The sequence below is a fragment of the Homo sapiens genome, chromosome 1 (assembly GCF_000001405.40).
Source record: "Homo sapiens chromosome 1, GRCh38.p14 Primary Assembly".
NCBI classification, from domain to species: Eukaryota; Metazoa; Chordata; class Mammalia; order Primates; family Hominidae; genus Homo; species Homo sapiens.
This window is the reverse complement of record NC_000001.11, coordinates 96300829-96312952: the sequence shown is the minus strand read 5'-3', so window position 1 is coordinate 96312952 and position 12124 is coordinate 96300829. Positions and strand designations below refer to the sequence as shown.

At 33.3% G+C, this 12124-nt stretch overlaps 1 long non-coding RNA gene across 1 annotated transcript in view; it reads left to right on the top strand.

Moving 5' to 3' along the window:
* Nucleotides 1-12124, top strand: part of LINC01787 (long intergenic non-protein coding RNA 1787) — a 120057-nt gene that overhangs the window by 61173 nt on the left and 46760 nt on the right. The window contains exons 4-5 of the long non-coding RNA NR_110693.1: nt 8615-8680; nt 9389-9469. This is a non-coding gene — a long non-coding RNA (long intergenic non-protein coding RNA 1787). The remainder of the gene's footprint in view (nt 1-8614; nt 8681-9388; nt 9470-12124) is intronic.

Genomic DNA, 12124 nt, shown 5'->3' with positions numbered 1-12124 from the left:
ATTCAAGAAACACTATAAAGCCCAATCAGAATGAGAACAAAGAAATCATTTTCAGGCACATTATGGTAAAGTTAATGAAAACTAATGACAAAGAGCAAAATCTTAGAAACATCTAAGAAAAAGATAAATTACTTTCAAAGAAACAATTTTATAATTATTAACTTGCTTCTCAACAAAGACAATAGCAGTTAGAAAAGACTGACATGGCATCTTTAAAATGCTGAAAAAAAATAGTTGTTATAGTAGAATTCTCAGAGTAAATATTCTTCAAAAATGAGAGTAGAGAGATTTCCTTATAAACAAAAACAAAATATATATAAAACGACAACAATAATAATAATGTATTGTGACATTTAATCAAAACACATGACAAAATAACAAATGGAAAAGGGGTAACTGAAGTGTTGTAACATCCTTGCCTTACCTAGGGATGCTAATTTATATGAGATTTAGAAGTGAGAGATCTACAGGAGAGCCACCAAAAGGACAAATAAAAAAAATTTTAAAAGTGAATTAATATAACTTAAAACTTAATAGAGAAAATATGATAACAAAAAAATACTCGATAAACCCAAAAAACGAAAAGGAGAGAAGTCTAGACCAAGTGGAAGAAATAAAATAAAGCATTAAGATGGTTGATTTAAATCCAAATGTATCAGTAATTACTTAAATTAATAATAGTTATTAAATTTCTATTAAATTATCCAATTAATAGTCAAGATTTTCAGAATAAAAACCACTGCCAATTATATACAGTGGTTTTTAAAAGAGATAAAAACTTAAATAACTACACAAAAATTGTAAAGTCAAATAAAAGAAAAAAGGTATAACATTCAAAGGATAATCAAAATAAACATGTAGTTATGCTAAGATAAGAAATAGTAGACTTTAAGACAGGAAGTATATTAGAGGTAAAGACGGGACATTTTGTAATGATAAAAAGATCAATTTAAAATTTAAAATTTTTATGCAGCTAATTACATACCTTAGAAATCAAAACTGAAAAAAATTAATGAATAAATAAGTACGCAAATACGGTGAAAGATTTTTAACACAAAATTCACAAAAAGTCGTAGGATAAGGCACGTAAAAAAATCAGTAAAAATATAGAATACTCAAAAAGTAAGATTAATAAGCATTGGCCTAATCGATCATATAGAGCACTGCATTCAACTGTACAATATACAGGAGTACACATGCAATATTTCTCAAAATGTTTATATCCTGGACTATATATGTACATGAGGCAAATCTCAACATATATCAAATAATTGAAATAATACAAAGTGTGTTTTTTTACTACTATGGAATTAAATTTGAAATTAGTGACGGTTAACCCCCTAAAGTATGAAAATTAAATAATCCATAATTTTTTAAAGAATCAATAAAATAATAAAAAATATTTTGAAGCAAAATATAACCAAAAAAGAATATATAAAATTTGTGGTATGGCGTTACAGCCATTTTATAGCCTGCAAATTATATATTTTATATAATTTGCAAATTTTATTTTAATATAAAATATTAAATATAATATATAATATATAAAATATTAAATATAATTATATTAAATATAATTAATATAAAATATTAAATATATAAATTATATATTTGCAAATTTTATAGCCTGCAAATTATATATTTAAAGATAAAAACCTGAAAATTGATGACCTGTGTGTATCCATTTGAAGATGTTAGCAAAAGAGCATAAGTTTAAACCTAAATAAGGCGGAATGAAGAAAATAATAAGGAATCAAATTTAATAAAATAGAAAACAAGCACACAATAGAGAAAATCAGCAAAATCAGAAGTTGTTCATTTCAAAAGCCAAAATTTGATAAATACATATGAAGACTAACCAAGACAGTGGAGCAAAAAGGTACAAATTACCAATACTAAGTAATAAAAGAAGGGGTATAACGATAGAGCCTAGAAACATTAAAAGATATTCAATGACTATCATGAACACCTTTTTTCCTCAAAATTAAAAATTTAGATAAAATAAATGAGAATCATATCTGTAATTTGTTTTCAAAATGTGCAAAAGGAAAAACAATTTTCAACTAATCTTTAAGGCCAGCATAACATGATACAAAACTTGATAAAAACATGTTACTGGTCAATCTTTGTTATGAACATTGATTAAATATCTTAAAGTGATATTAGCATTCCAAACTCAACAATGTATATAAAGGATAATATATCACCACCATGTTGAACATTTTGTAGAAATGCAAATTTCATTTAATATAAAAAAATCAAGAAATTGTTAAGTCTACAGTGGAAAAGCTTGGGAGACCCCAGTTTAACCAAGTGATCACAGTTAATGTTGCTATTACTGGGAAAGGATATACCATGTTTAGAGATTGAAAGATCCAATATTTTAAGATGTCAATTCTCTGTACATTGATATATAGACTAAAATTCCCCAATTGTGTAAAGTAAAATTATTATTCTAGAAATTACAAGGAAAATTAAAGGACTCAAACTAGCCTCTCTAAGATGATAAAGTCGCAAAACATATTACCACATATGAACATTATAAGCCCACTGAGATTACACAAGTGTTATTGAAATTAAGGACTGAAAAACAGATTAGTGGATCAGAACAATTTAGAAACGAAACTACATGGTCACTTGATTTATTACACATAACCCTGCAGAACAGAATCTTTTCAATACATGGTGCTGGATAAATTTAGTGTCCATATTAAAAAAATAAAACTGCCAGCCACTTCCCAATTATAAATAAATTCCTCATATAGATTTAAATTCAAAAGATAAAAAAATTAAAGTATCTATATAAAGCTGCGCTAGTCAATAAGGTAGCCATTAGTCACATGGGTATTTAAATTTACATTTCAATTAATTAAAATTAAAAACAATTAAAAATTCAGTTCCTTAGTTGTATTAGTCACATTTCAATTGTGCAATAGCTAGCTTTTGCCACAATCCTGTGGCTAGCAGCCACTGCATTGAGCAACAAAGATATGGAACATGTCCATCACTGTAGAAAGTTCTGTTGGACAGTATCAGCAGAGGTTTACATAAGATACCATCTTTATGACTAGGGCTAGGAGAAAAGAAACCAACCATAAAGGAAGAACTGACAATATATATAGAACTCTTAAAAACTGACAACAACAATAACAAAAAAGAAAAATGGACAAAATCATGAAATGTTTATAATAAATGATACACAAATAGCTTTTTAATATATAAAAGAAATGCTTAATGTTACTCATAATAAGAGAAAAAATGATAAAAGTACACTGATGTATTATTTTTAACTGTCAAATTACTGGCCAGAAGATTGGCCACAGGCTGTTCAACAGAGGTGGGGGAATGGGCACTCTCCTAGTGGGGGTGCAAAATGGTACAGCCACAGTAAAGGTAAACTTGGTAATATATATGGAAATTATATATTCTTTGCCACATGACTCAGCAATCCCACTTCTAGGATTTTAGTCTGAAGATACAAAAAAAAAAAATTTGGTACAAGATTACTCGCAAGTAAAAATTGGAAGCAACCTAAATACCATATAGAAAGTCAAATACGCTCTGGCACATTCACACATTGGAGTACTATGTAGCTGCCAAATATTAATTAGTAAAATAATCAGTACAAGCAATGATAAAAAAATCTCTTTAATATGACATTAAAGAGATTTAATTTGACATTAAAAATCTCTTTAATGTGAGTGATTTCTAGGATGCATTGTTATACGAAAAAAGCAAGATGCAAATGAAAAACCTACAATATGCTACCTTTCTTCTAAGAAGCAAGAGGAAATTAGAATATGTATGTCTATACTTGTTTAATTTCACTGAAACAAATACAGGAATAACGAACTAGAAAGTAATAAAATTGATTACCTACAGGGTTGTGAGTTAGGTGGAAGGGGTATAGATGTGAGTGTGATTTTTTTTGCATATATATTTGATATAGTTTTCATTGTGAACTATGCTTTTTTTAAAACAAATTTTAGAAAATTAAATCAACAAAGATGAAGAAAAGAAACTTCAAACTGGAGATAAGCAGAAACAAATAAACTGAACTTTGTAGCTCACTAAAAAAAACTACAAAAAAGAAAAAAAGAATTAATCCAGGTAATTTTGGAATGCTGTATTCTGACTATACAGCCTCAGAGGGATATATTCTAAGGACTAAAAAAATGCAAAGAAATTCCTGACTTTTATGACAAGGTTTGTTTTGCTAAGCGGTATGGATGTAGCAATTCTGAAATTATGTTTTATATATTATAGGATAGAGCAAATATGTTAACGTTGTGGGCAAGACAGGATGTACAAATGGTACAAGTCAGAAACACAGGGATGAAGTACAAAGTCATGAAGCAGATGAGATTGCCCAGGGTATAGTGAGAGGAAAAGACTGTTTTTAAGAGGTGGGAGAAATTCCTACATTTCAGCAGTGGACCGCTTTTGAGGAACTCGTGGTGTGTTTTTTCTCTTCCCCTTTTTCTTGTCAGGTTGAATAAATGTGTTATAGACAAAAAATGACCCTTTAAAATGCAAAAAGTCCGGGTGCAGTGGCTCACCCCTGTAATCCCAGCACTTTGGGATGCTGAGGCAGGCGGATCACCTGAGGTCAGGAGTTTGAGACCAGCCTGGCCAATATGGCGAAACCTTGTCTCTACTAAAAATACAAAAAAATTAGCCGGTTGTGGTGGCGGGCGCCTGTAATTCCAGCTACTTAGGAGGCTGAGGCAGGAGAATTGCTTGAACCTGGGAGGCGGAGGTTGCAGTCAGCCAAGATCGTGCCACTGCACTCCAACCTGCGCAACAGAGCGAGACAACACCTCAAAAAAAGAAATTGCAAAAAACAAAAAAAGAGAAACCTCTTGATGGTCAGGCAATGTCTTTTAATATAATGTGTAAGATACAAAAAAACTCAGTTCAGGGTTTTATTATGAATATTTTTGGAGATACTGAGCAGTTTCTTGAGGCAATATATTTTTTTTTAATTAGAGACTTCTGACGACTCAAGTTTTAAAAATAAGCTGTACATTAAAAGATATGAATGAAGAATATTATTGATTTAAGTAAAAAAGTTCACTCAGGTTCATAAAATGGAACAAGATCATGTCCTTTGCAGGGACATGGATGGAGCTGGAAGCCATTATCCTCAGCAAACTAACAGAGGCACACAAAACCAAATACTGCATGTTCTCACTTAAAAGTGGGAGCTGAACAATGAGAACACATGGACACAGGGAGGTGAACAACACACTGGGGCCTGTCATGGGAGTTTGGGGGAGGGAGAGCATCAGGATAAAGAGCGAATGCATGCATTAGCTATTGATAGGTGCAGCAAAACACCGCGGCACATGTTTACCTCTGTAACAAACCTGCATATCCTGCACGTGCATCCTGGAACTTATAAAATAATAAAATAAAATAAAGTATTTTAAAAAGTTCACTCAGGATCAAAATATGCATACACATTGGCTTGATTGCAAATACAGAAAACACATTTGCCTTTTCTGAAGTGCCCTGTGATCAGTGCATCATACGTTTTGTGGGGTCGTCAGGCGGCTTGGTGGGAAGTCAGTCACCACATCAACAGGCACAAACATTTTGAAAAGAATTCTTGGGGTTTTAGAGAGTCAATGAATAACCATCTTCTCTCCTGTATTCTAGTTTTGAAAACAATGAGAAATAACTGACCAAAAATGAGATAAAATTTACACCTTTATCATTGGTAAACATTTGATTGGCAGTAATGGGCCCGCGGTAGTTCAATGGTCCTGCAGCACTCTCAGTCCTTGGTGGTCTAGACACTCACCTAAAGGAACGTGTGGAATGGAAGAGGTGACACACTCATTGCTGAGTTACATCGGTCAGGGTTGGAGATGGAAGAAAACATAGAAATAAATCCTTGGTCATTTTTTAATAGATTTCCCAATCATTCAATGTGGACACAAGAGTCAGTAATTTCACTTTTATTTCATAAGAAACAATGAGTAAGAAAATGAGACAAGATACCAGGAATGTTAATCTAGAAGCAGTCCCTCTCCTTGGAAACATGAATAGGAGCAAGAATCATTTTAAATTCTTGTGGTTGCCTTTGGACTGCAAATATCAAGAATTAACAAGTATCTGTTTAATGAATGTGACCTAGTTTCAAATAAAACTGATTTGGTTAAAAACCAAAACTATTCATTAAAAAGCGATGATATTTTATAAATACAAATATATTTCTTAGAATTACTGCAAAGTTTTTGGCCTTAGAATTATTGTGAAGTTACTGTAAGCAACTTTTACATCTCATGGGCTTTTGAAAAATACATTTTTTTTTACTATAAAACTGGTAAATTTGGCAGTATTCATGATGTAAAGAAGAGTCAGAATTGTGATATTCCAGGGCTAAATGTATCTTGCAAATTTTAAGAATGTTTGAGTAGTCATGTAGAATGACACCCTGCAATAATAAGCCTCTCCATAATATGAATTTGGAGATACAGTAGCACAATTGGAGCTTGACTCCTATTCTTCACAGTAAGCTCATCTAGGCCATTTCATTAGCCTCATGATTTCATGATCCTGAATTTTTTGTAATCAAAAACGGTTCTGGTAGAATTTAATTATATGTATTTATCAAAATTATATATTGACCAGCATTAGGCCTACAATTCTGCATCATTTATGGCTAAAATATATTTATTATTGTTTATTTGTTTTGTTTTTTGAGACAGAGTCTTGCTTTGTTGCCCAGGCTAGAGTGCAATGGTGTGATCTTGGCTCACTGCAACCTCCGCCTCCTGTGTTCAAGATATTCTCCTTCCTCAGCCTCCTGAGTCGCTGGGATTACAGGCACCTGACACCAAGCCCGGCTGATTTTTGTATTTTTAGTAGAGATAGGGCTTCACCATGTTGACCAGGCTGGTCTTGGACTCCCAACCTCAGGTGATCTACCTGCCTCGGCCTCCCAAAGTGCTGGGATTATAAGCATGAGCTACTGTGCCAGGCCATTATTGGATAGATTAACTAAGCTATATTTCTCTGTGATAGGGTTACATATTATATATTGTTTTCTGATAAAGTAAATGATTAGTGAAAATATTTCGATGTCCCTAATCAAAATGGCAGTTGTTGATGATGACGTAGATTGAGCATTGTATCAGGATGTGTCTAATTATGCCTCATGTTAACAGAATAATAAACCTACTTAAGGAAAAATATCTTAGTTTGGGATTTCTAGAAACAGTGCCTGAGATGAGGGTTCTTATGAAAGTGATTTATTAAGGAATACTCCCAGGGATTTATTGAAGGGAATGAAGATAAAGAGGAAGAAACTAAGCAAAGATACAGTTTTAGCAGAAGTACAGACTCAATCAGATCACACTGCAAGTGCTGAAGAGTACATCACATTACAGAGTTTGGTCCACCCAGAGGCCAGGAACTGGGCTTTTAAAGACCCTGCCAAGCAGTGGTCACGCGCCAGGGTAAATCCCAGGCGTCTTCCAGCAAGGCAGCGCCTATCAACTAAGGGCAATTTTCGGCAGAAGGTGCAGATGTGATGATCCTTCGCAGCCAATGCCTGCAGAAGTAGGGGTATAGACTTCACAGGCTGCTAAAGGGAATCTGGGTGAGTACCCGGGTAATTTTTAATTATTAATAATTATTAATTATCTTGACTGTATTATGTTATATAGCTAGAAATCAGCTCATCTCCCTTACCCCTCATTTGAATTTCTGAGCTTTGCTCTTGCTTAAGACTTATTTAGAAACACCTACGCTTCCTTTTCTGTATCATGTTCATTGGGCACAAAGTGCGATCTGTTTTATCCACTAGTAAGGAGTTGCACAGCAACTATATTTTAAAGGTGCATGTCTCCTTTTGGATAATGCAAAGATAATACTTGAATATAAAAAGTTAAAGAGTTTTGAATCCACTTGGATAGTTTCTCCACTGATGGGAAACCTGCACCTCTGTTTACGGTTACTTTGGAAATCTGGAAGGTATGTGTTTAACAAAATGGATTTTTCACATAAGTGGAAATGTCATTATTTATTCAGGCTCACCACCTTCTCATTGGTTCATGGAATCTTAAAATTGTTCTCACACGTTTTTAGATGTTATCCATTCTGGATAGGAAATATAAGCTGAAATTCAGCCACGATGTATGCAGAATATGGCTGGTTATTTTCCAATTATCTACTCTTCCCTTTCTCTATTTTAATAGAGCTCCTGAATTTTACATGACCACCCAGAATAAAGATTATACATTTCAAGTCTCTATTGCAGTTATGTGTGGCCACATGACTAAATTGTGGTGAAAAGGGTTTGATTGGAAATGATAATTTCAACTTCTGAATCCTGACCTTCAAAGGATGCATGTCTCTCCCCCACCCCTTCCCTTATCCTTTCTCCCTCCTGCCAACTGGAACATAGATATAGTGGTGATTCCTCTTGGATCAATGGATATAAAGCAAGTTTCTAAGGATGGCATGGTAACAAGATAGAAGAAATCTAGTCCTAGACACAGCAGAACCTGCATACCAGCCTGAGATACTTCAATCTAGTTTGTTACATGTGACAGAAGTGAACTTGTATGACATTAAGTCACTTTATTTTGGGTTTCTGTTTCAGAAGGATGTATCCTCTATCCAGCAAGCCTTTTTCAATAAAATCATTATGTACTCCACCTGCAACAAGGTAGGAATGAATCCCTCTGATATTTTAAAAGAATAACTACAAGCAACATTTTGACCTATTGCTTTTATTTAAATGCTTATTTATTACTTGAAATTGGAGATAAAGCAATGACCCACAAAAATATTTTATTAACAGATATTTAATCCACAGTTTGAATGAGAATCAACTATTGGTATACTGTGTTACAAAGGGATATATATTAGTTCAGGTTTATGAAAAGCTCTGAAAATGGTACACACATAAAAGCACAAGGTATATATCTTAAGAAAATGAATTATGCTGAGAAAATTTATCTAGAAAGAAAGAAGAAAAAATATATATATAAAGAAAATAGAAGTGAATGTTAAATGCTATTTCTACAAATTATCTCTACACACCTCAAAGTCACAAACTATTGTTAGGAAGCATTATGGTCTCACGCTTTATGAAATGAGGTGTTTGAATTTAGGATGTCTATTAGACATCAATTCTCAATAGCAACAAGATCTTTGAAAAAGTAGTATTTATTTATGTTTATTGCCCTAAAGCTAGGACATATACCAACACAGAGAAAGAAATTAACTTTCTCAGTAGAAACCTCAAGTTCGTTAAAGTACAACATTTTAAAAGATGCTGTCAAGACTAGAGGTTGCATTTTAAATAGGTTGAATTTAAAATATTTTTTGTTATACAACAACATAACCTCCTCTTTAATATACCTGGTTTCAGGAAAGAAAACAAAGTTCCGTGAATAACTAAATCATCATAATGAAGCAAAACGATAAGCAGAAAGCAAGAGTGTTTTGAAAGGTGAGCTGAATTATTAACTTCAGACGATCTTTTTTTAAACAGCATATAACATGAACTAGGTATTTGTTGTGTCAATAATTCACCCTAGAGTAATCCAATAGCGGAAAGAAAGCAATAGTTTTAGTAATTTCCCTGTATTAGAATGTGAGCTAAAACAAAATGATTAAGTGTAAAAAAGAAACTGCTCATACTATGTTCTCATTTTATGAAAATTGTTACTTAGGTATCAGATCATTCAAATATTTAGAAATTACTTTTTTTTTGCATTTCCATGGACTGAGTTTCTGCTAAAGTTTATGAATGTTTTGAGCCATGACTATGTTCCAGGAGCTGAGTAAATCGTAAGAGATAGAAAGATGAGTGGGACAAGATGCTTCCTTCAAATCTATTGGAGGGGTGAAGACACACAGTGGGGGTGTGTAGACTGGTACAGGTATTTGAGAGGGCACTGTGTCAGTAGTCAGCCAAATTAAAAATACAAGCATTATACAAACTAGGAATGTCTCTCCTCCTTACATGTTTCAGGGAAAATTTTATGTGCCCATTAGAAAACATGTAGTAGAGTATTCACTACAATATTTGTAGTAAAAGAAAGTTGGGGGCAATTTAAGTAACTGTCACTAATAGTGAGTGTTCACTATAAATGCTGTAAAGCAGTTGAAGGCAAAGGAACAGATGCGTATAGATATATAGACCAAAATGATAGACCACAGAAACATAACTTGAGTGAGAGAGTAAAAATCAAAAGTTTAAAGTGTAATAACATCAATGTCAGGTAAAACATACACATGCAAAATAATATTGCATGTTTTACAGGGAAACCTAAAAATGAAAGAAGAGACCTTAAACACTTTCAAATAAATGACCATTAGAAAAGAAGAAAAGTGAAGTGCAGAACGAGAATAAGAGGAGAGAAATAAACTAAACAAACAAAATAATAAATAAATGAAAAAGAATAAACAAACAAGAAACTCAAAATGAGGGTCATTCATTGGAAAATGACAGTATTTGATCATGAGCTAGTTGAAGTGAATAAACTCTCCACCACTAATGTAAATATAACCCTGAAATTTAAACAACTATGAGATGGATTTCTGAAAATAGGTAGTCTAGATATTCAGAAAAAATTTTATTACCAAACAGTTGAAATTGCCAAACTTGAAAATCAAAACCCTAGATGAATTTGCAAGGAAAAGAAAAGTAGGAAAATACTGAAGAAGGACATGTCTATCAATGTGATAAACAGAAACTGATGTTGAACTTACTTTGAGAAGCAGAAACCTGTTTTTCATTTTGTTTTTGTTTTTAATGTAATAGCTATATGGGGAAGCAGGCAAGGCCTTGGACCCACCTGAGGTAGTGTTGGAACTGAGAATATCATTAAAAAGCCCATATCTTTTTTTCTTTTTTAAATTTATTTATTTTTTTTAAATTATACTTTAAGTTCTGGGGTACATGTGCGGAATGTGCAGGTTTGTTACATAGGTATACATGTACCATGGTGGTTTGCTGCACCAATCAACCCGTCATCTACATTAGGTATTTCTCCTAATGCTATCACTCCCCTAGCCCCCCACCCCCCGACAGGCCCCCGTGTGTGATGTTCCCCTTCCTGTGTCCATGTGTTCTTATTGTTCAACTCCCACTTATGAGTGAGAACATGTGGTATCTGGTTTTCTGTTATTGTGTTAGTTTGCTGAGAATGATGGTTTCCAGCTTCATCCATGTCCCTGCAAAGTACATGAACTCATCCTTTTTTATGGCTGCATAGTATTCCATGGTGTATATATGCCACATTTTCTTTATTCAGTCTATCATTGATGGGTATTCGCATTGGTTCCAAGTCTTTGCTATTGTGAACAATGCTGCAATAAACGTAAGTGTGCATGTGTCTTTATAGTAGAATGATTTATAATCCTTTGGGTATATACACAGTAATGGGATTGCTGGATCAAATGGTATTTCTAGTTCTAGATCCTTGAGGAATCTCCATACTGTCTTCCACAATGGTTGAACTAATTTACACTCCCACCAACAGTGTAAAAGCATTGCTATTTCTCCACATCCTCTGCAGCATCTGTTGTTTCCTGACTTTTTAGTGATCACCATTCTAACTGGTATGAGATGGTATCGCATTGTGGTTTTGATTTGCATTTCTCTAATGACCAGTGATGATAAACATTTTTTCATGTTTGTTGGCTGCATAAATGTATTCTTTTGAGAAGTGTCTGTTCATATCCTTCACCCTCTTTTTGATGGGGTTGTTTTTTTTTCTTGTAAATTTATTTAAGTTATTTGTAGATTCTGGGTATTAGCCCTTTGTCAGATGAATAGATTGCAAAAATTTTCTCCCATTCTGTAGGTTGGCTGTTCAACCTGATGATAGTTTCTTTTGCTGTGCAGAAGCTCTTTAGTTTAATTAGATCCCATTTGTCAATTCTGGCTTTTGTTGCCGTTGCCCTTTGTGTTTTAGTCATGAAGTCTTCACCCATGCATATGTCCTGAATGGTATTGCCCAGGTTTTCTTCCAGGGTTTTTATGGTTTTAGGTCTTACATTTAAGTCTTTAATCCATCTTGAGTTAATTTTTTAATAAGGTGTAAGGAAGGGATCCAGTTTTTTTTTTGTTGTTGTTGTTGTTGTTGTTTTGAGACAG